We start from the raw sequence: 25183 nt of genomic DNA, 5'->3' as shown, positions 1-25183 counted from the left end.
ACCCAGCTATTACACTCCTTTGTATTTACCTAAAAAAAAAAATGAAAGCATATGTATATACAAAGACTTGTTCACGGATGTTTACAACAGCTTTATTTGTAATAGCCTCATATTGAAAACCACCCAAATGTCCATCAACAGTAAACCTGATAACAAATTGCAGTATATCCATTCAGTTATAAACGAATGAACTATTGATACGTGCTGTAACGTGAATGAATCTCAAAATAATTTTGCTGAGTGAAGGAAGCCAGATAAGAGTTCATATTGTATGTTTAAGATTCTAGAAAATGCAAACAAATCTATTGTGGTAAGACAGCAGATAAGTAATTGCCAACATGCGTCTGCTTCCCCACATATTCTCTAATAGAGTTTATTACCAAATTTCCAGGTACTTGCTAATCTGAGACATCAAAATAGTATCTCTGAGTAGTTTTTATGTGCATTCCCCTAATCAAGAGTTAGACAGTGATTATTTTCTTTTTTCTTTTTTTTTTTTGCGACAGAGTCTCACTCTGTTGCCCAGGCTGGAGTGCAGTGGTGTGATCTTGGCTCACTGCAACCTCTGCCTTCTGGGTTCAAGGGATTGCCTGAGCCTCCTACGTAGTTGGGATTACAGGTGGGCACCACCAGGCCTGGCTAATTTTTATATTTTTAGTAGAGACAGGTGTCACCATGTTGCCCAGGTTGGTCTTGAACTCCTGACCTCAAGTGATCCACCTGCCTTGGCCTCCCAAAGTGCTGGGATTACAGGTGTGAGCCACTGTGCCCAGCCTGTGTTTATTTTCATGAGTTTAAGTGACATTTGTATTTCATTTCTTCTAAACTATCTGTTCACATTCTTTGCCCATTATTTCTACTGGATTATTCTTGTTTTTCTCACTGATTTTTAGAGTTCTTTATATATTAGGGAAATCAGCCCTTTGTGAGTTGCAAATATTTTCCCCAGTTTCTCACTTGTCTTTTAACTTTGCTTATAGTAGTTTTTGCCATGCCACCATCCCCTACCCCCAAATTAAAAAAAAAAATTATATAGTCGAATTTACTGTCTGGCTCAGGTGATGGGTGTACCAAAATCTCAGAAATCACCACTAAAGAACTTATCCATGTAACCAACCACCACCTGTTCCCCCAAAACTTACTGAAATTAAAAAAAAAAAATACAGTCTATTCTTTTGTGGCTTCTGGAATATTTTATCACACTATACTATACACAATTATGTTTTTTAATTCTCCCATGGTTTCTTTTAGTACTTTACTAGGACCACAGTTCCATTTCTTACATTTAATATTTGATCCATTTGGAATTTTTCCTAATATAAAATGTGAGGTATGGAGACGAGTTTATTTTCCATATTGGCTACCCAAATTTCTCTACACCATTTACTAAATAATCCGTTATCTTCCACAATCTTACCCACCACCATGGATTTAAAATGCCACCTTTATCTTATATTACATATGTTTTGGGTCTGTTAATAGACTTTCTATTTTAAGGAATATAATTTTGAATAGTCTGTTGTTTCAAGCTTTTTACCAAAATTTTGTTTTATAAGCTGGGCACAGTGGCACATGCCTGTAGTCCCAGCTACTCAAGAGCATGAGGCGGAAGGATCACTTGAGCCCAGAAGTTTAAGTCCAGCCATGGCAACATAGCAAGACCTGTCTCTTAAAAAAAGAATAACACAAAATTTGTTTGATAGAAGTCATATTTATGCAAGATTATTTAAATGCTGTTCAGTCCATTTCCTTCTCTGAAAATTCAGAGATCTATTCTCCATACTAACCATACAGACTGTCAGCTACCTGACTCTTCCATATAATCTTAGCTTCCACATACTTATCATCAATGAGTTGTGTTATAATGTTAAACCCTTGGGTTTTCTCAAAACACACTACATAAAAGAGCCATTAGAAAATAAAACAACTAAATATATTTATTGCACGAGTATTATAGACAATGAAGTCATTATCACTCAGTATTTTCAGTGTGAATCCTCCTTGAAAAATACCCCAGAAAATTTTTGTTTATCTAGAGGAATAGTAATAGTTAGTTCTTTGAGTTTCTACTTTTATTTCTATCTTCCCTAGTATTTATTATGCTATTGTAAATGTTATATGGCAAGACACATTAAAACTTGGTGAACCTTGTCATGAAATGAATAAATAAGCTTGCTAGGGAAGTGTAGTAACCAAGAAGATGTGTTGCTCAGATCTGCTTCAAGAGAACCTATTGTATGGACCACAGTTCAGCCTCTAGCCACCAACCCCATGAACACTGAAAGCACTCTTTGCCTAAGCTGCTCCCAGCCAGTGACTGAGCAAGGCAGGGGTAGTAGTGCCTGCCCACCTGCCCCATACGGGATTCTGCTAACAAGCAACTTTTGCCTGGGGACTCTACATCTGCATGGCTGGGATTTTCTCAACTATGCTGTGGTCTGCAAGATTTCCTACCCAGCCTTTTCTTCCCGGTCTTCCTTCACAGGTATTAGACTTGCACCATATTCAAAAAGCTCTCCCTGCCTACTCCTGGCTCCCTCCCAATTGATTGTTTGTGGTTCAATAAATTTTATGCCTCTAAGTCTGTCTTGGAGGATCCACACTGACACAGGGAGCATAAGATAATTTAGTTAATTGAGGAAAGACTCAATTGCCTAGTTAAATAGAACCTGACTCCACATTCTTCATACCCAACATTATCTTTAAAATCACATGATGGCTTCTGTAGACAAGCAGATGGAAGTCAAGAAGCCCAGATGTAAAAGAAGAGATATAAGCTTTTTAAAAAAATCTAAGTATACTGTGGGCTTTTTGGCCATTTCACTTGAAAATTCAAGTACCTTTGCCTCAGGAAACAGAACTGTCTCTAAGTGAATCAACGAATTTTCCCTTGACCTATCTTGAACTGAGAAATAACAGAGACCTGGCCCGCAATGAAGACAATATAGCACCTCTATCTGGCATTTAAAATATCCTGAAGAACAAACATGTTATCGTGTTATCAGCTCAAGGCTTCTTCATCCCCATCACTGAGGAAACTCCCGACTCAAGGATATATGTTTTGCCATCTTGTGAAAGGAAACATTCGTTTCAATAGGATTTCATCTGTTGTTGTTGTTGTTGTTTTACATTTACATTTGGCCGAATTCCTCCATCATTCTATTCCAAAGGGAAAGTCTTAGGAAATTTGCCAAAGTTTCTAAACTACTGAAACACACTGAGAATGCATAAAGCATATAATGGCCAGTCATTTTATTTCAGAACCTCAAGAACTATGTACTGTGTTGTATACAGTGCTTAATATACTGTGCATGGCTAATAAATATTAAATCAATCCTTCATAACCTGTCTCTGGGACAAAAACTCTTTATTCACAAGACCAAAATATTTCTCAACCATTTCTCCAGAGAAAGAACTCTCAAATCCTTCATTTTGGCCTTACAGCTTCATACTACAAAAAGTCCTGAGGGATGAAGGCACCCGAATCACCCAAAAACTACATCAGGGCATTTCTTTTAGAGAGGTATAAATTTGCCCTGCCCTTGGTTTCACCTTCTTACAAAGTTCTGTAGTCCAGGCTAAATAATTCTTCTCTTCTTCCAATGTTAACACCCTTCAAATATTTGGGAGTGTCTCTCCTGGATCTTGTAGTTGGAATTCAGTCAACCCTGCATGCTTGAATTTGTTAACTGATCTTCATAAATTCATGTATTTATCCCCCTCAGCACTACAGTTGCTCTCAGAGCTCACCACCTTCTGTTTCTATCATGCTGACACTGTGCTAAATGTAATACTCCCGGTGGGCTCTTGCCAACTCCCTATGCCGTGGCACAATTCTTCTTTGTTAGCTGCCCAGAATAGCACTGGCTTTCCTTTGACTGCTAGATCACATTTCAAGCCCAAACCAAGTTTGTTATCTGCCATTTCTGTCAAGTCTCTCTGGCCCTCTGGGGTTTCATTTAGTTTTTTCTGTCAGATCTCTTGCATCTCCTCTTCCGCCTCTGAAACAAGAGTAGAATTGTGTCCTATTGTTAATTTCCAATGAATATTGTTCATATTTCAGCCTGACATTAGTACTAAAATGGCTGACGGCTAATTTTCATAACTGACCATTTTCTCCCCTCTCTACTGGATTCCCACCTAAGATTTTTTCCCTGTTAAACCTACACTCAAACCTATCTCCTCCTTCGAGTAACTGTTTTAAGTAAAATAAATAGGTTGTAAACTCTCCACAGTCCCTTTGGTTCAATCAACTTTTACTAATCACCCACTAGGATACAGGTGTTGTGGATAAAGGTAAATACATAGCTTTTGCCCTCAAGCAACTCACAGTCTTGTTTAAAGAAAGACATGTAAATTTACATTTATAACACAGTGTAATCACGCAATTATAGGAAAATATATAAAGGTTGGGAAAGGTGGTAACTTTAAGAATGAATAGGACTCCATCAGACCTAGGAGGAGGACATTTCAATCAGAGAGAAATTCCAGAGCAAAGGCAGAGTGCTGAACATGTGGGATGCAAGGGAAACAAATGACATGATGTTGCTGGAGTATAACAGGAAAGGCAGGAGAGAAATGGCAGCACAGGACAGTAGGGGATTAGGAAAGAACCAAGGTACTGGACCCTGAAGTGCTTTGAATTCCAAGCCAAGGAGTTTGAACTTGATCATGCAAGCAATGAGCAGACGTTATAGAAATACAAAAAGGGAAGATTACATGATCAATATTTTAGAAGAATTATTCAACATAAGTGTAGAGAAGAAAAGAGAGGGAGGAGGGACAAAAGCAAGACTGTCAGGTGTCAGCTGCAATAGTCCAGGTAAGACATAGGGTTTTTTTCAGAAGGAAAAAAATGAAGATGGCCATTTCAGCCTATCACTTACAGAGCACCAACTATGTGGTAGGTGCTGTATGATGTGCTTTCCATACTAAACTCACTTAATGGTTACCATAACCCTGTTAAATAGGCATTAGTATCTTAATCTAACAGGAGGAAACTGAGGCTCAGAGAAAACAGATAAAGCTAAAAAAAGCAGCAAATAAGCCAACCACTGAAACAGAATCAAATTTAGTAAAATGTACTCTGTACTGCCATTGTGGCTTCTAGAACCTTATTCCAGAGTACTATATCCTTAATCTGGTCACAGACAGCTTACGTTCTCTATTTCAATTCATTTATTCAGTGCCTAGAGTGTGTCCTATGTGTCCCCACCCCACTCCCATCCCAAATTCATATGTTGAAACCTAATCTCCAATGTGTTGGTATTTGGAAGTGAGGCCTTTGGGAAATGATTAGGTCATGAGGACTGAATGGGATTAGTGCCCTTATAAAAGAGAGCTGAGAGCTCTCTCATCCCTTCCACTATGCAAGGACATGGCTAGAGGATGGCTCTCTATGAACCAGGAAGTGGGCCCTAACCAGAAACTGAATCTATTGGTGCCTTGTTCTTGAACTTCCTGGTCTCCAGAACTATGAGAAATAAACTGTTGTTTTTAAGTCACCCAGTCTATGGTAGTTTGTATACAGCCTGAATGGGCTAAGACAATGTGCTAGGCAATGCACAAAAACAATTCCTACAGTCAATGAGTTTACAATCTGGTGAAAGAAAAACATAATATAATCATATAATAAAAGATTAATTAGAAATGAATAAAGAATTACACAAGAAAAAGTATAAGATATTATGAGACAGTACAGAGGAAAACCATAGTTAGACTTGAGGAGAGGAGATTTATGGGAAGACCTCTGAGAAAGTGACACATGAGACTAGAAGGGATGACTTGAAGGTGAATTTTCCTATCTACCTATTTCTATGCTGCCATCTGCTACCTCTAGTCACTCCATGTCATTTGCTGAAAACTCTTACAACTAGCTCATGACTCTGGGTCTTTGAAGTCCATGGGCATAATTTATCTAACCAGATACTTGATCTCGACTCCTTTTTAGTTATATTCTCTAATGGCTGTGCCCTGGTAACCTTGTCAGTACCTATAAATGCTACATTTCTGGAATCTAACATTCAAATACTGTATTTTATCAAATCTGCCATTAATTGGAAGACTCACCATCATTTCACATAATAGTAAAAAGAAAGTGTTACCAATTAAACTGGCATCTCAACTTTAGAAATGTTAAAATGGAAAAGAAAGTATTCCTTAAAACCAATCAACTATGGTATCTTAACTTTTATGACAACTGCTAATCCTTTTATCAATATCCCATTCTATTTTTTTCATTGTGTCTATTTGGAAATAGTTTGAACTCAACCATACCTCTGGAAACGATCCTTTTGTACTATCCCAATCTGTTTTTCTTGACTATCGCTTCTTTCTCAGGCTAGCCAAAACTCAAGGTATTATCACTTCAGTCAGTATCTGGCTAACTCCTTTGTCTGTCTGGCTGTCCACTGAAACTACACAGCAAAAAACACTGTCAACTTTCTCTGTTTCTACACCTGAGCTAAGTTCTGCTGAAGTAAGTCATTCAACCACATTGGCTGGTATTACATGAACCACACTCACGGCCAGAACACTGAGCCTCCAACAATAAGCAATAAATCTACATTGCCCAAATCCTCAATCTCCCATGCTTCTAACATTTCAAACTTCCTTCACTGTCTTCAAAACCCCAATCCTATCACCTCCTCTGTACTCCCAAAAGACAATTTTATCCCTTATTCTCTAAAAACAAAAATACAACATGAGATTTTCTTCAATTTCTGAATCCTCCCATCTGGATTGCCTACAAATTTATATCCATTCACCAGACCTCTCATTCATTCATTTCACTAATATTTATCGAACACTTACTGTGTATTAGGGACTGTTTTGGGTGGTTGTAGCAGAACAAAAATCCCTGCCCTTGTACAGCTTAGATTCTAGGAGAGAGACAATAAATATCAAACATATTAAATTATATGTTAGAAAGTGGTTAAGAGAGACAGAAGAAAGAAAAAGTACTGCAGGGTAAAAAGTAGCAAGTGCAGAAGCAGGGATTGGTGAAGAGGGTCAGGCTATAGTATTACACCTAACAGTATTAAATAAGTAGGGCTCAAGTTTAGAAACAGAAAACCTAATTTATGGGGTGATGTAAGTCTGAATAGTGGTTACATACGGGTGGGGGTGAGAGGCAGGGAGCTTCTGACAGGGAAAGAGTATACAAGAATGTTCTAGAGAGATGAGAACGTTCAATGTCTCAATGTGGATGGTGTTATATATGCTGTAGACTTAATATCTGTGTATTTTACACCTCAATTTTTTCAAATAAAAAAAGTCTAAATAGTTATAGGTAACTGTAGCAAAAAGGTAATCTTGTATATTGACCTCCTGACTAAAAACTATTAAGAACTAGAGATCTGAAGGAGTGTAGCAGAGCTGAGCATAGTGGCTCACACCTGTAATCACAGCTACTTGGGAGGCTAAGGCAGGAGGATGGACTAGGCCCAGAAATTCGAGGCTGCAGTGAGCTATGATGGCACCACTGCACACCAGCCTGAGTAACAGAGCAAAACTCCATCTCTAAAAGACAACAAAAAGAAAGAAAGAAAAGAAAATGAAGGAGGCTGGGTGCAATGGCTCATGCCTGTAATCCCAGCACTTTGGGAGGCTGAAGCAGGAGGATCACTTGAATCCAGTAGTTGAAGACTAGCCTGGGCAACACAGGGAGACCCTGTATCTACAAAAAAATTTCAGAATTAGCCAGGCATGGTGGTGAACGCTTGTGGTCCCAGCTACTCAGGAGGTTGAGCTGAGAGAATCACTTAAGCCCAACAGGTAGAGACTACAGTGAGCCGTGATCACGCCACTGCACTCCAGCCTGGTCCCAGCTACTCAGGAGGCTGAGGTGGGAGGACTGCCTGAGCCCAAGAGGTCGAGGCTACAGTGAGCTGTGACTGCACCACTGTACTCCAGCCTGGGGCAATGACAAGAGCGAAACGTTGTCTCCAAAAGAAGAAGAAAAAAAAGAGTGTAGCAGAATGAACAAGGAGAAATATAAGTAAGAGTTCATAGTTTAATATAATTATAGTCAATTTTAAGGCCGTTGCCTTTCATTATCCATGACATGAGAAGCCACTGCAAGAGTCAGAACCTAACAGTGACATGATCTGACATAGGTTTTAACAAGTTCCCTCCAGCTATAAACTGAAAACAGACGACGGAAACAGCAATAAAGAAGCAGAGACCATCTGGAAGGCTATGCAATAATCCACGTAAGATGTGACAGTGTGGCTTAGACCAAAGTGGTGAGAAGTGGTTAGACTATGAATATATTGAAAGTAGAGCCAAAAGGATTTGCTGACAGATTAGTATTAGAGAGGGTAGTCAACAATGACAATAGGACTTTCTGCCCAAGTTGCTGGCGCGGTGGGGGGTGGGGTTAAGACCAGAGTGTAGAAGAAGTAAGTTTCAGAGGAATTCAGTTTTGACATGCTAAGTTTTGAAATGTTTACAGACACCTGAGAGAACATATAAAGATGGCAGTTAGAGATGCAAGTCTGGAATTCAGGAGAGTTTGGGACTTGTCAGCATTTAGGTTAGATGATATTTAAAACCACAGGAATAGGTACGATCACCATGACAGAAAAGAGATGAACTTATTCAAGGACTGGCCCCATGGCATCCCATATTAATAGGTCTCTTACTGTATAAGATATCCTGTTTCTATGTAAATAAGGCCAATCGTCCTATTCATGCTTTGAATCATGTTCCTTTCTTTCTTTTCAAGGACTTCAGTCCATTTTTATTCCCTTCTTCTTCCAATCTTGCTTTCTTCCTCTCCAAACTCTCTTCCATAGGCACCTAAACATATTCAAGTCTGTCGTACATTTTTTTTTTTTTTTGAGACAGGGTTTCACTCTTGCCCAGGCTGGAGTGCAGTGGTGTGATCTTGGCTCACTACAACCTCTGTTTCCTGGGCTCAAACAATTCTCTAGCCTCAGCCTCCTGAGTAGCTGGGACTGCAGGTGTGAGCCACCACACCTGGCTAATTGTAATTTTTGTAGAAACAGGGTTTCACCATGTTGCCCAGGCTGGACTCAAACTCCTGAGCTCAAAGTGATATGCCCACATCAGCCTCCCAAAGTGCTAGAATTACAAGCATGACCCACCACGCCTGGCCCATCAAGTCTGTTATATACTGCTTTAAAAAACATTTTCCCTAGAGCTTGCAACCCTCTCCAGCAACTCTAACTCCCTTATTCTTCACAGTCAATATTTTCAAAACAGTTTTCTACCCCAGCTTGTTTTGCTTCCCTACAAATAATGTCTCTCACCAGTGCAATTTAACCTTACCAACTATCCTAACACTTCACTGCTTTGCTGCTAAATTCAGTGAATTATTTTCAATACTGATTTTATTTTACATCTGTATAGCATTTAACACTTAATTCCCCTCCTTCTTAAAAACTCTCTTCTTTTTGGAATACCACACTCTCCTGGCTTTCTCCTTCAACCCTGGCTTCTAATTTCCTTCATTATCTTTTCCTTCACCAATTCCCTCAAATGTTGATGTCCATTGGGGTCCATTCTCAGCCTTGTCTCCATCACTTCATATAAACTCCCTGGTGATTCCACTGAAAGAATGAATGATTTGACAGGAGATCCTTGGTGATCTTAGCAAGCATGGTTTCAGAGAAAAGGTGACCATAAATGCTCTATTACCAAACAGAAAATGAAATGATAAATCTAAAAGAGTATATATAGATAGGATTAGAGATTTATGGGGTCTATTTTGTCATCTTTTTTCTTTTTTTTAAATGGGAATGAAGTTAATGGAGAGGGAAAGACTGAAGATCAAGGATATAAATGATGTTATTAAGTCACCAAGGAGGTGGATGAGATGGTATCAAGAATCATATATTTAGACAGATGTCACAACTATCTAAAATGGGAAGAGCTAAACCTCTTCCTCTGGGACAGAAAGGAAAAAGGTAAAAATGAGGTCAAACAGAGACATGTAATGAGAAAGTCAGAAGGAAGTTGAAAGAGTTCACAAGAGAAAGCCTAAACTTTTTGGTGTCCCAGATCCAAGGTGGGTTGTATGACAATGAGACAGAGATTAGGAAGGGGTCTGAGATGAGTAGAAGTCTGTAACAGCTGCTGAAGGAAAAGGCAAAGGGAACCAACCAACGTAAAATTAAAAAAAAAAATGGTGACTGGTAAAGAGAACTCAAATGAGATTGGAATTTAGAGACATGAGCTTAGAGAGGCAGCAATTCCATAACTTTATAGCACTCAGTTTTTAAGGCACAGGCAGAAACAGAGAAGGCAGACTGTAAAATTGATCCAGGAATGCGGGGGCTGGCAGCGGACAAGAACCAAAAGAATAGAAGATATTTATATGTGACAAACTAAAATGATGAACCATTTGTAACCATAAATTTTCTTTTCTTTCATTTATTTATTTTGAGACAAGGTCTTGCTCTGTTGCCCAGGCTGGAGTGCAGTGGTGTGATCACATCTCACTGCAGCCTCAAACTCCTAGGCTCAAGTGATCCTCTCACCTTAACCTCCCACGTAGCTGGGACTACAGGCATGTACCTACCACACCCAGCTAATTTTTAAACTTTTTGTAGAGATGGAATCTCACTATGTTTTCTAGACTGATCTCAAACTCTTAGCCTCAAGTGATCCTCCCATCTTGGCCTCCCAAAGTGCTGGGATTACAGGTGTGAGCCACTGTACCTGACATAACCATAATTTTTGTTGTTGTTTTGAGACGAAGTCTTGCTCTGTCGCCCAGGCTAGAGTGCAGTGGCATGATCTCAGCTCACTGCAACCTCCACCTCCTGGGTTCAAGTGATTCTCCTGACTCAGCCTCCCAAGTAGCTGGGATTACAGGTGCCCGCCGCCACGCCCGGCTAATTTTTGTATTTTTAGTAGAGACGGGGTTTCACCATGTTGGCCAGGCTGGTCTCGAACTCCTGACTTCAGGTGATCTGCCTGGTCTCAGCCTCCCAAAGTGCTGGGATTACAGACATGAGCCACTGTGCCCAGCCCATAACCATAAATATTTTTAATTCAATGTTTTAAAATAGTTATCTTCCAAAATAGACTAAGAACCACCACATGACCACAGTGACATCACACTGAAATTATAATGAATGATCCATACCATGCTGCCCAGATCATGTGGCCCAGGGCACCCAATACCAACCCCACATGCTCCTCACTATAGCAAATTATTCTTCAGTTGTAATGATAGTTTCTTTTTTGAAACTGTCTTAGAATAATTCTACTATCTGAATGTTTCTGTTTTTTAAATGAACATAAAGAATCTTCTCCTGAGAAGACATGGAGTAAGATAGCTGAATAGAAGTCTCCACTGATCATCCTCCCTGCAGGAACACCAAATTTAACAACTATCTACACAAAAAAAGCACCTTCAATTAGAATCAAAATCATGTGAGCAATCACAGTACCTGGTTTTAACTACATATCACTGAAAGAGGTACTGAAAAAGGCAGGAAAAACAATCTTGAAATGCAACAACACCCCTCTCCCATCCCCTGGCAGCACCCACATGGGCAATCTGTATGCTGTGGCAGGGAGAGCTCAGTGATTGTGCAACTTTGCATTGGAACTCAGTGCTGGCAACACCAGACAGGACTCAGCAGGTACCCACAGAGGGAGCATTCAGAAAAGCCCTAGCCAGAGGGGAATCACCCAACCCAGCAGTCATATCTGTAACTTCCATAAGGCCTGCTACCATGGGCTAAAGTGCTCTGGGGTTCTAAGTAAACTTGAAAGGCTGTCTAGGCCACTAGGACTACAACTCCTGGGCAAGTCCTAGTGCTGTGCTGGGCTTGGAGCCAGGGGACTTGAGGGGCACATAACTTAGTGAGATGTCAGCCAGGGTGGCTAAGGGAGTGCTTGCGTCACCCCTCCCTCAACCCAAGGCAGTGCAGCTTGAAGCTCCCAGCTTCAGAAGAGACCCCTTTCTTCTGCTTGAGGAGAGGAGAAGGAAGAGTAAAGAGGATGTTGTTTTACAACTTAGATACCAGTTCAGCCACAGTAGGAAAGAGCACCAGGCAGGATCATAAGGTCCCATTCCAGGCCCTAGCTCCCGGACATTTCTAGACATATCTTAGGCCAGAAGGGAAACAGTCCTGGCAGGATTCATCACCTGCTGACTAAACAGCCCTTGGGCTCTAAATAATCAGCAGCGGCAACCAGCTAGGACCTGCCATGGGTCTTAGGTAAGACTCTTGAGCCATGCTGACTTCAGGTGTGTCCCAGCAAATTCACGACTGTGTTGGCTATGAGGAGAGAATCCTTCTGCTTGAGAAATGGAGAGGAAAGAATAAAGGAGACTTTGTCTTGCAGCTTAGGTACCAGTTCAGTCAAAGTGGGGAAGAGTACCAAACAGGCTCTTGGGGTCCCTGATTCCAGGCCTTGGCTCTTGCATTGCATTTCTAGACCTACCCTGAGCCAGAGGGGAGCCCACTGCCCTGAAGGGTGAGTTCTAGGCCTGGCAGCATTCACCACAAGCTGACTGAAGAGCCCTTGGGCCTTAAGTGAACATCAGTGGTGCCCTGGTACTCATAGGCCTGTGGTGGTGGTGGTGGACATGGGAAGAGACTCCTCTGCCTGGGGAAAGGGTAGGGAAGAATAGGAAGGATTTGTCTTGTGGTTTCACTGCCAGCATAGCTGCAATGGAATAGGGCACCAAGTAGATTTCTTTCTAAGGTTTCCAACTCCAAGCGCTGGCTCCTGAACAGCATCTCTGGACTTGCCCAGGGCCCAAGGGAACTTGCCACCCTGAAGGGAAAGGCACAAGACTAGCTGGCTTCACTACCTGCTGACTGTAGAGCCCTAAGGCCTTGAGTGAACATACGCAGCAGCCAGGTAGTGGTCACAGCACCCCCTGGACAAGATTCAACACTTTACTGGCTTCAGGACTGACCCAATGCGTCCCAGTGTTGGTGGCCACAGGGCTGCTTGTGTTACCTCACCCCTAGGTCCAGGCAGTTCAGCACAGAGACAGAGAGAGACTCCGTTTGTTTGGAAGAAAGTAAGGTAACAAGAGTCTCTGCCTGGTAATCCAGAGAATTCATCTGGATCTTACCCAAGACCATCGAGGTGATACCTCTACGAGTCTGTATGAACTACAGCATTACTGGGTTTGGGGTGCCACTTAATGCAGATATGGCTGCAGTGACCAAAAACAGATCTCAACACCCAAGTCCCTTTGAATATCTGGAAAGCCTTCCCAAGAAGCACAGGTACAAATAAGCCCAGATTGCTAAGAAGTCAACAAATACCCAACTCTTCAATGCCCAGACACTGACAAACATCCACAAGCATCAAGACCAGGAGGAAAACATGATCTGACCAAACAAACAAAGTTAGGCATCAGAGGCCAATCTCAGAGAAACAGAGATATGTGACCTTTCAGACAGAATTCAAAATAACTGTTTTGAGGAAACTCAAAGAAATTCGAGATGACATAAGAAAGAATTCAGAATCTTATCAGATAAACTTAACGATGAAATTGAAATAATTAAAAAAAGAATAAAGCAGAAATTCTGTAGTGGAAAAATACAATTGACACACTGAAGAATGCATCAGAGTCTCTTAATAGCAGAATTGCTCAAGCAGAAGAACTGTGAGCCTGAAGACAGGCTATTTGAAAACACACACCCAGAGGAGACAAAAGAAAAAAGAATACAAAAGAATAAAGCACACCGACAAGATCTAGAACATAGCCTCAAAAGGGCAAATATAAGAGTTATTGGCCTTAAAGAGAAGGTAGAGACAGACATAGAAAGTACATTCAAAGGGATAACAATAGAGAACTTCCCAAGCCTAGAGAAAGATATCAGTATTCAAGTACAAGAAGGTTCTAGAACACCAAGCAGATTTAATCCAAGGACGACTACCTCAAAGCACTTAATATCCAAACTCCCAAAGGTCAAGGATAGAGAAAGGATCCTAAAAGCAGGAAGAGAAAAGAAACAACATACAATGGAGCTCCAAATACATCTGCCAGCAGACCTCTCAGTGGAAACCTTACAGGCCAGGAGAGAGTGGCATGACATATTTAAAGTGTTGAAGGAAAAATCTTTTATCCTAGAACAGTATATCCAGTGAAAATATGCTTCAAACATGAAGGAGAAATAAAGACTTTCCCAGACATACAAAAGCTAAAGGATTTCATCAACACCAGACCTGTCTTATACGAAACACTAAAGTGAGTTCTTCAATCTGAAAGAAGAGGATGCTAATGATCAATAAGAAATCATCTGAAGGTATAAAACTCACTGGTAATAGTACACAGAAGAACACAGATTCAAGTGTTTTTGAACTTAGGTAATTGTGGTATGTAAACTCATATTTCAGAAGAAAGATGAACTGATCAAAAATAATAACTACAACTTTTCAAGACACAGTACAATAAGATATAAATAGAAACAACAAAAAATTAGAAAGTGGGGGGTATGAAGTTAAAGTATAAAGTGTTTTTTTTTGTTTGTTTGTTTGTTTTTGAGATGGATTATTGCTCTGTCACCCAGACTGGAGTCCAGTGGCACGATTTCAGTTCACTGCAACCTCTGCCTCCCGGATTCAAGCGATTCTGCTGCCTCAGCCTCCCAAGTAGCTGGGACTACAGGCACGTGCCACCATGCTCAGCTAATTTTTGTATTTTTAGTAGAGACGGGGTTTCACCTTGTTGACCAAGATGGTCTCAATCTCTTGACCTCGTGATCTGCCCGCCTCGGCCTCCCAAAGTGCTGGGATTACAGGCATGAGCCACCATGCCCGGCCTAAGTATAAAGTTTTTATTAGTTTTTTTGCTTGTCTGTTTATACAATCGGTGTTGTCATCAGTTTAAAATAATGGGTTATAAGATATTATTTGCAAACTTCATGGTAACCACAAATCTAAAAACATATAGTGGATATGCAAAAAATAAAAAGGGAGAAATTAAAACATACCACCAGAGAAAATCACATCCACTAAAAGGAAAATAGGAAGGAAGAAAAGAAGAAAGAGAAGACCAAAAAAAAAACCAGAAAACAAATAAAATGGCAGGAGTAAGTCCCTACTTATTAATAATAACATTGAATGTAAATGGACTAAACTCCCCAATCAAAAGACATAGAGTGGCTGAATGGATAAAAAAGCAAGATTCAATGATCTGTTGCCTACAAGAAACACACTTCACCTTTAAAGAAACATATAGAGTGAAAATGAAAGGATGAAAAAAAATATTCCATATCAATGGAAACCAAAAAAGAGCAAGACTAACTGTATTTGTATCAGACAAAATAGATTTCAAGACAAAAACTACAAAAAGAGACAGAAAAAGGTCATTATATAATGATAAAGGGGTTAATTCAGCAAGAAGATGTAGCCATTTTAAATATATATGTACCCAACACTGGAGCACCCAGATATATAAAGGAAGTATTATTAGAGCTAAATAGATAAGACTCCAAAACAATAGCTAGCTAGAGACTTCAACATCCCATTTTCAGCATCGGACAGATCATCCAGACAGAAAATCAACAAAGAAACACTGGACTTAATCTGCACTACAAACCAAATGGACCTAATAGATATTTACAGAACATTTCATCCAATGGCTGCAAAATACACATTCTTCTCCTCAGTACATGGATCATTCTCAAGGACAGATTATATGTTAGGTCACAAGACAAGTCTTAAAACACTCAAAAAACTGAAGTAATATCAAGCATTTTCTGACCACAATGGAATAAAACTAGAAATCAATAACAAGAATTTTGGAAATGGTACAAACATGAAGGAATTTCTTGAAACAAATGATAATGGAAACATAACATACCCAAACCTATGGGATACAGCTAAAGCAGTACTAAGAGGGAAGTTTGTTTGTTTATTTATTTATTTTTATTTTATTTTTTATTTTTTGAGACAGTCTTGTGTCAGCTCAATGCAACCTCCAGCTCCCAGGTTCAAGTGAGTCTTGCGCCTCAGCCTCCTGAGTAGCTGGGATTACAGGCATGCACCACCAATGCCCGACTAATTTTTTGTATTTTTAGTAGAGACAGGGTTTCACCATGTTGCCTAGGCTGGTCTGGAACTCCTGAGCTCAGGCAATTCACCCGCCTCAGCCTCCCAAAGTGCTATGATTACAGGTGTGAGCCACCACACCCAGCCAAAGAGGGAAGTTTATAGCTATAAGTTCCTATATCAAAAAAGTAGAAACGCATCAAATAAATAGCCTAACAATGCATCTTAAATAAGTAGAAAAGCAAGACCCAACCAAACCCAAAGTTAGTAGAAAATAAATAAAGATCAGAGGAGAAATAAATGAAGTTGAAATGAAGAAAACAATACAAAATATCAACAAAATAAAAAATTGTTTCTTTGAAAAGATAAATGAAATTGACAAACCTTTAGCCAGACTAAGAAAAAACATGAGAAGACCAAAATAAAATCAGAGATGAAAAAGAAGACATTACAGCTGATACTGTAGAAACTCAAAGGACCATTTGAGGCTACTATGAGCAATTATATGCCAATAAATTGGAAAACCTAGAAGAAATGGATAAATTTCTTGACACATACAACCTCCCAAAATTGAATCATGAAGAAACCTAAAACCTAAACAGATCAATAACAAGTAGCAAGATCAAAGTCAAAGTTAAAAATCTCTCAGTCGGCCAGGCATGGTGGCTTATGCCTGTAATCCCAGCACTTTCGGAGGCCAAGGCGGGCAGATCACCTGAGGTTGGGAGTTCGAGACCAGCCTGACCAACATGGAGAAACCAGTCTCTACTAAAAATACAAAATTAACCGGGTGTGGTGGCGGATGCCTATAATCGCAGCTACTTGGGAGGCTGAAGCAGGGGAATTACTTGAACCCCGGAGGCAGAGGTTGCGGTGAGCCAAGATCACGTCATTGCACTCCAGCCTGGGCAACAAGAGTGAAAGTCCATCTCAAAAAACAAAGAAGTATCCCAGCAAAGAAAAGCTTGGGACCCAATGGCTTCACTGCTGAATTTTACCAAACATTTAAAGAAGAACTAACACCAATCTTACTCAAACAATTCCAAAAAATGGAGGTGGAAGGAATACTTCCAAACTCATTCTATGAGACCAGTATTACCCTGATACCAAAATCAGAAAAAGACACACCAAAAAAAGAAAACTACAGGCTCTGATGAACATTTATGTAAAAATCCTCAACAAATACTAACAAATCAAATTCAACAACACATTAAAAAGATCATTCATCATGATCAAGTGAGATGTATCCCAAGGATATAAGGATGGATCAACATACACCAATCAATCAATGTGATACAGCCTATCATCAGAGTGAAGGACAAGAACCATATGATCATTTCAACTGATGCTGAAAAAGCATTTGATAAAATTCAACATCACTTCATGATAAAAACCCTAAAAATAACTGAGTATAGAAGAAACATACCTCAGCATAATAAAACATATACAACAACCCACAGCCAGTATCATACTGAATGGGGAAAAACTGAAAGCCTTTCCTCTAAGATTTAGAACATGACAACAATGCCCACTTTCACCACTATGATCCAATATAGTACTGGAAGTCCTAGCTAGAGCAATGAGTCAAGAGAAAGATATAAGGGCACTCAAACTGGAAAGGAAGAAGTCACATTATCCTTGTTTGTAGATGATATGACCTTATATTTGGAAAAACCTAAAGACGCCACCAAAAACCTATTAGAACTGATAAGCAAATTCAGTAAAATCAACACACAAAAGTCACTAGCATTTCTATATACCAACAGCAAGTAATCCGAAAAAGAAATCAAGGAAGTAACGCCATTTATAATAACTACAGATAAAATTAAATACCTAGGAATTAACCAAATAAGTGAAATATATCTACAATGAAAACTATAAAACACTGATGCAAGACATTGAAAAGAATACCCCCTGCACCAAGAAAAAGACATTCCATGTCCACGGATTGGAACAATCAATATTGTAAAAATGTCCATCCTACCTAAAGCAGAATCAGTGTAATAATAGGGATTGCACTGAATCTATAGATTCCAAATCCCAATAACATTCTTCACAGAAATAGAAAAAAAAAATCCTAAAATTTATATAGAACTACAAAAGTGACAGAATAGTCAAAGCTATCATGGGCAAAAAGAACAAAACTGAAGGAATAACACGACCTGACTTCAAATTATACTACAGAGCTACAGTAACCAAAACAGCATGGTACTGGCATAAAAACAGACACATAGACCAATGGAACAGAATAGAGAACCCAGAAACAAATCCATACATCTACAGTGAACTCATTTTTGACAAACATGCCAAAACTATACATTGGGGAAAGAACAGTCTCTTCAATAAACGGTGCTGGGAAAACTGGATATCCATATGCAGAAGAATAAAACTAGACCTCTATCTCTCACATATACAAAAATCAAATAAAAATAGATTAAAGATTTAAATCTAAGACCTCAAACTATGCAACTACCAAAAGAAAACATTGGGGAAACTCTCCAGGACATTGGAGTGGGCAAAGATTTCTTGAGTAAATACCCCACAAGCACAGGAACCAAAGCAAAAATGGACAAATCAGATCACATCAAGTTAAAAAGCTTCTACACAGCAAAGGAAACAACCAACAAAGTGAAGACACAACCCACAGAATGGGAGAAAGTATTTGCAAACTATCCATCTGACAAAGGATTAATAACCATAATATATAAGGAGCTCAAACAACCCTATGGAAACAAAATCTAATAATTCAATTAAAAAATGGGCAAAAGATCTGAATAGATATTTCTCAAAAGACATACAAATGGCAAACAGGTGTATGAAAAGATGCTCAAGGCCAGGTGCAGTGGCTCACACCTATAATCCTAGCACTTAGGGAGGCCAAGGTGGGCAGATCAGTTGAGGTCAGGAGTTTGAGATCAGCCTGGCCAACATGGTGAAACCACATCTTCACTAAAAATACAAAAATTATTCAGATTTGTAATCCCAACTACTTGGCAGGCCAAGGCAGGAGAATCCCTTACCCAGGAGGTGGAGATTGCAGTGAGCTGAGATTGTGCCACTGCGCTCCAGCCTGGGCGACAGAGTGAGACTCCATCTCAAAAAAACATAGAAAAACTACAATGAAATATCTTGCCACAGCTGAAATGGCGTATATCCAAAAGACAGGCAATAACAAATGCTGGCAAGGATATGGAGAAAAGGAAACCCTCATACACTATGAAGAACAATTTAGAGACTCCTCAAAAAATTAAAAATAAAACCACCATATAATCCAGCAATCCCACTGTTGGACATATATTCAAAAGAAAGGAAGTCAGTATATTGAAGAGATATCTGCACTCCCATGTTTGTTGTAGCACTGTTCACAACAGCCAGTATTTGGAAGCAACCTAAGTGTCCATCAACAGACGAATAGATTTTTTTAAATGTGGTACATATAAGCAATGGAGTACTATTCAGCCATAAAAAAGAATGAGATCCTGTCATTTGCAACAACATGAATCAAAGTAGATATCCTTATGTTAAGTGAAATAAGCCAGGCACAGAAAGACAAACTTTGCATATTCTCACCTATTTCTGGGAGATAAAAATTAAAAGAATTGAACTCATGGAGATAGAGAGTAGAATGATGGTTACCAAAGGTTGGGAAGGGTAGTGAGGAGGCTGGGGGGGAGGCGGGGATGGCTCATGGGTACAAAAAACCAGGAAGAATGAATAAGATCTGGTATCTGATAGCACAACAGGGTAACTATAGTCAATAATAATTTAATTGTACATTTTAAAATAACTAAAAGAGTATAATAGGATTGTAATATGATAAATGGTTGAGTTGATAGATACCCTCATTTACCTTGATGTAATTATTGCGCAACATATGCCTGTATCAAATATTCCATAAACTCCATAAATATATGCACCTACTATGTACCCACGAAAATTAAAAATTTTAAATAAATAAAAAAATTTTTCAAGTTTTCTCCTGTATGTATAAAATTTCCAGGCTGGTCTCAAAAATTTTAAAAAGAGTCTTCTCCTTTAAAAAATTATTTCAGTGTTTTGAACTTAAATTATCTAAACCGTGGGTATATAATCAAACCACAACAGGTCATGATCCTACATGTGTGGGTAAAGAATCATCTTCCACATATACAAAGTTCTGTACTTCTATGCCATGTGGTTGGTGATGAGATGGAACAGGTACAACACCCCTCTGACAAGTTTTCTTTGTTACGGAAGTACTCCTAAAAGTTGGAATCTGGCTGGGCGTGATGGCTCATGCCTGTAATCCCAGCACTTTGGGAGGCCAAGGCGGGTGGATCACGAGGTAAGGAGATCGACACCATCCTAGCTAACATGGTGAAACCCTGTCTCTACTAAAAATACAAAAAATTAGCACGGCGTGGTGGCGGGTGCCTGTAGTCCCACCTACTCGGGAGGCTGAGGCAGGAGAATGGCGTGAACCCGGGAGGCGGAGCTTGCAGTGAGCCGAGATCGCGCCACTGCACTCCAGCCTGGGGGACAGAGCGAGACTCCATCTCAAAAAAAAAAAAAAAAAAAAAAAAAAAAAAAAAAAAAAAAAACAAGTTGGACTCTCCCACCTCAGCCTCCTGAATAGTTGAAACTACAGGTGAGCCACTATGCCCGGATAGTTTTTTGTTTTTTTTTTTTTGGTAGAGGAGGGGACTTGCTATGGTTCCCAGGCTGCTCTCAAACTCCCAGCCTCAAGCGATCTTCCCATGGGATCACAGACATGGACTACCATGCCCCATAGTTTCTACATTTTTAAATGGTTGAAAAATTTCCAGTCTGTCCCTGATTCTCCCCCCAAAAATGTCAAAAAATTTAAAAAAGAACAATATATCATGGCACATGGAAATTGTATCAAATTCAAATTTTTGGTTTCCATTAAGTATTTTTGGAACTCATTCATTTATGTATTGCCTATATACTTTTTTTCGCTACAATAACAGGTTTGAGTAGTTACAACAAAAAACATATAGCCTGCAAAGCCTAAAACACTTACCATCTGAGCCTTTACAGAAAAAGCTTGCCTACCTTTAGACCAAGAAAAGTTTTATTTTATTGTATAATTCAGTAATGATTGTGATAATTATTTCCAAACAGGCAAAAGAGGTGAAACTAACAGCAATTTGGAAAATAATGACCTTAATTATAAATAACAAAGCTTAAACAGTTTAATATAATACATAAAATAGACAAATCACTTGGTAGAATGACAAATATCAAACAAACACTGCAAATGTGCTGCTTTGGTTTGGTTCTTGTAAGGCCTTACGTTGCTTCTTTTCCATTATCCCCCAAGCAAAGTTTAGGAAAAAACTCCAAAATCCTTCTGGGAATTTTAGGAAAAGCTACATAGAGGTATTTTAGTCACTACAACCCTGCCTAAGTACTTTCCATAGCTGTTATATGTTTCAAGAAAACAAAACAAAAAACCAGGTGTCCTCATGAAATGCCAAGTGAATTGCGGCCAGCAGGTGGAGACAGTTTCTAATCAAAGCAGAGAAGCAAAATTTGATACCAGTTGTAACGGAAATTTAAACTATCTTCATATCCTTACCTTGAAATATTTAGTTAACTAGATAAGACAAAGTGATTTTCTCCTTCCCTTGTTCAACAATAAAACCAGGCTACCTTGTATTTCCTAAATCAGATTTCACTAAGGAATCAGAAATAGGCTGGCTGGTGAATACCCCACTCCCTATATAATATGAACCTAATTTATAAGTTTTTCCTCTCTTGCCATTAGAAAAGGAATATTTTCTGATCGTTTTCTCTCAATGAGGTTAGAGTCTTTCCTATCAAATTAAACCACAGGCTTTCTTGTCTATAGTTACCCTCTAGCTATCTGATTATATAAACTGGGAATGACTATTTCAGCAGGTAATGATTTGTTTATTTGGAGACAGGATCTCGCTGTCACCCAAGCTGGAATGCAGGGGCAGGATCATGGCTCACTGCAGCCTCAACCTCCCCAGCTCAAGCAATCCTCCCACCTAAGACTCCTGAGTAGCTGACACTATTAGTGGATTAGTCCACCACCATGTCGGGCTAATTTTTAATTTTTTTTAGAGACTGGCTCTCCCTATGTTGTCCAGGCTGGTCTCAAACTCCCAGGTTCAAAGGATCTTCCCATGCCTTGGCCTCCCAAAGTGCTGGGATTACAAGCATGAGCCACTGCATCCAGCCAGGTAATGATTTTGATTACAGCTCTCAATTACCCTATCAAACACCATATACTTTCACTCATTAAAAAAAAATTCTTCTCAAAAATTTTTCTCATTTTATAAACAAGAAAAAAGTTACTTTTCCATACTACAAATGACAGGAATAGAATGGTGGTTCCAACTTCGGGACCCGTAGTCCAGAGCTACGTAGAAATTTCTAGCAGTCTATAGGAGGAAGGAGACCAATTAGGTCTCAAGCAAAGGCATTCTAAATTTCCTATCTCAACATGTGACACTTCTGCTCCCCAAGCACCAGTGCTCTGGAGCTGTTCGCTAGTTTTCCAAAGCTCCCAACAGTCGCTTCTCCCTTGGGGCCTGTCTACCCTATGCTTTTTCAGTACCTTTAATTTCAGCAGTATGCACAACTCAGCCCGGTCCTAAGATGAAGTTTACTTCAAAGCAAAGCATACTAGAGTGCAAAGGACTCACAGGCAACCACTGACACCATCATTAACCAGGGGACATAGCACTACAAAAAATTTGTAATTGGAATAAACAGTGATGTTTTCAGAAATTCCTCCTCTTTGGAGCAGCCACCTCTCTACAATCCTTTTACCTTTCACATCCCCAATCACCCTACTTAAAGTCACACAATGTGCCAAGGCTACAATAGATCAGTGTGCATGTGTACACACAGTCTTCACAAGTTGGCTACCCACTTCAGAAAGGTTGACATATATTAAATCTCAAAAAGAATATAAACTTTAAGCTTCCGAAAACTCTAACTCACCAAGCAAGGGTAAGGACTCCAACTGAGCCAATTTAGTTTAATTCTCCTTTATAAGGCTATTTTCAGAAACCATTTGAGTATTGTTTTAAACTACCTAGTATCAGAATGTCCTGAAATTTTTACTTAATTTACCTTCCAGATTATGTGAAAAATAGGTATAAGCATCCTAACCTTTCCATTTTAATAAACCAGGCATTTACTCTCTATCAACTGCATGGACCATTCTAGGAAGCCAAAATTTCTTATTTATTTTTATTTTTTAGAGACAGGGTCTCACTCTGTCAACCAGGATAGAGTACAGTGACATGATCATAGCTCACTGTAGCCTTGAACTCCTGGGCTGAAGGGATCCTCCTACGTCAGCCTCCCAAGTAGCTGGACTACAGGCATGTGTTACATGCCCAACTAATTTTTTAATTTTTTTAAGTAGAGATGGGGTCTCAGTATGTTGCCCAGGCTGGTCTTGAACCCCTCAGCTTGAGTGATCCTCCCACCTCAGTCTCCCAAAGTGCTGCGATTATAGGCGTGAGCCACCATACCTGGCCCCAAAATATTTAAATCCAATGAATGCCAACATAACACCAGAAAATAATTTTGTCTTTCTTCCCCTGATGTTTGTGATTCTTTGGGAAAGTACTTAATTGGAAGAAAAGTCTGTGGTTGATGGAATATTAAGGTGTACAGAGGTTACTCACTGGCTCCCTTTATGCAACCTCTCTTCTACTCTTCCTATTATTTCCTTGATTTTTTACTTCCATCTAAATGTGTTTTCTCCTAAATATAGTGATAAGAATTTTAAGTAACTATCATAGGGGTAATCCTACATGATTCCTCCAAAATGAGACTCATCTAATCACACTTCTAAAGTCTCCAATGAGTTGGAATAACACATACTGGAATGGGGATTGAAGCAGCGAAGGCAAGTGGCTGTCTACAGTACTAAGATTCCAAGATCTAAAACCAGCTATATATTTATCCAAAATCTATTTAGCAAATAAAGGTAACAGTATAAACGCAGAGAAGCTTTAGAGAAACTAATCTATTTTTATCCTGACTTTGGCCAAATTACTTAAACCAGTGGCTTTAATTCTGCATATATACGAACAACTCCCCAGCAAAGTCAGCAACTGTTGGAAGAATAAAGGATTAAGATCTTCCTAATTAGAGACATTTGAGTTCTACTAAGAGCATGCATTAACCCTCTGAGGATGCCTGTAGTTTCAGAAACTCAAATGTTTTAAGTAGTTTCTCTGGCCATTCACGGCCTTCACTGTAAGACAATAATTAGGCATAAATTTACAATCATTTTTATTACATATTCATATCCTTACTGCACACCTACTGTATGTTGATTGTTGACCTTTAGTTTTATTTTTCTATATTATAAAGTACTTGAGTCAGCTCACTAACAAAGGTGTGGAGAAATACCAAATAATGACTAGATGGGGTCTCAGTTCTACAGTCTATACAATGGTCTCCTACTGCCTATTTTTTCAGCTTTCAGAGTCTAGGCTTCTCTTCAAGATGCTATGAACTTGTTGAAGACTATTCCCTGAACTTAAACCAGTTCCACTACTCTGTTCTCAGTCTAGGGACACAGACTGACTCATACGTAACATTTTTAAAGCTGCTGCTCAGCAATGCACATCCCTCAGAAAACCTTAATCATAGAGAATTTAGTTAAATCCTTTAAAACCAGATTGCTCTGGCTTCACAGAACCAGCCTGGCTGCTCAGCTTCAATTCCCCGGAGAGAAGAGAGAAGCTCTACTCTATTATGAAACCAGCTTGCCTAATCAAATTCCCTTTCAGAGAAAGAGGTCAAGGAGAATAACTCCTGTGCCATTTTTCAATTCTTCCTTCCAAGAAATGACTGTGATTGACAGATGCTATTTCTTTGAGTTCCAATGGCCTACTGCCAAGATCAACTAATTGTTTCTTGGTTAAAAGAATGGTACCAATCCATCAAGCCACACAACTCCTGAGAACCACATTACTTAATACTTTACATTGGTAAAGTTTTATCATTTTCAAAGCCAGCAAACACACATTCAACACACCCCACTGGGAAGGCAGAATAGATATTATTAACATCTTCATTTTTACAGACTGGAAAACTACAACAAAGGCAACATATGACTTATCCAGGGTACACGTTAATAGTGGATCTAAAATTCTAATTTATGAAGTTATAGTCCCAGGATTTT

The 25183-nt window shown here is 39.3% G+C and overlaps 1 protein-coding gene and 1 long non-coding RNA gene across 7 annotated transcripts in view, besides 1 other annotated feature; both read right to left on the bottom strand.

Moving 5' to 3' along the window:
- Positions 1-25183, bottom strand: part of AHCYL2 (adenosylhomocysteinase like 2) — a 205182-nt gene that overhangs the window by 110263 nt on the left and 69736 nt on the right. The window lies entirely within an intron of this gene.
- LOC124900234 (uncharacterized) lies at positions 77-18200 on the bottom strand. The gene is made up of 2 exons (XR_007060519.1): positions 6814-18200; positions 77-4001 (listed from the first exon to the last, which is right to left on the bottom strand). It is a non-coding gene; the product is annotated as an uncharacterized LOC124900234 (long non-coding RNA).
- Positions 5715-5915: a silencer, noted in NCBI's record as "peak6717 fragment used in MPRA reporter construct". NCBI's record gives its function as "represses an SCP1 promoter by STARR-seq MPRAs in K562 erythroleukemia cells {active_cell/tissue: K562}" and the evidence as "EXISTENCE:reporter gene assay evidence [ECO:0000049][PMID:32103011]".

The sequence above is a fragment of the Homo sapiens genome, chromosome 7 (assembly GCF_000001405.40).
Source record: "Homo sapiens chromosome 7, GRCh38.p14 Primary Assembly".
Classification (NCBI taxonomy): Eukaryota; Metazoa; Chordata; class Mammalia; order Primates; family Hominidae; genus Homo; species Homo sapiens.
This window is presented reverse-complemented; position numbering and strand designations above follow the sequence as displayed.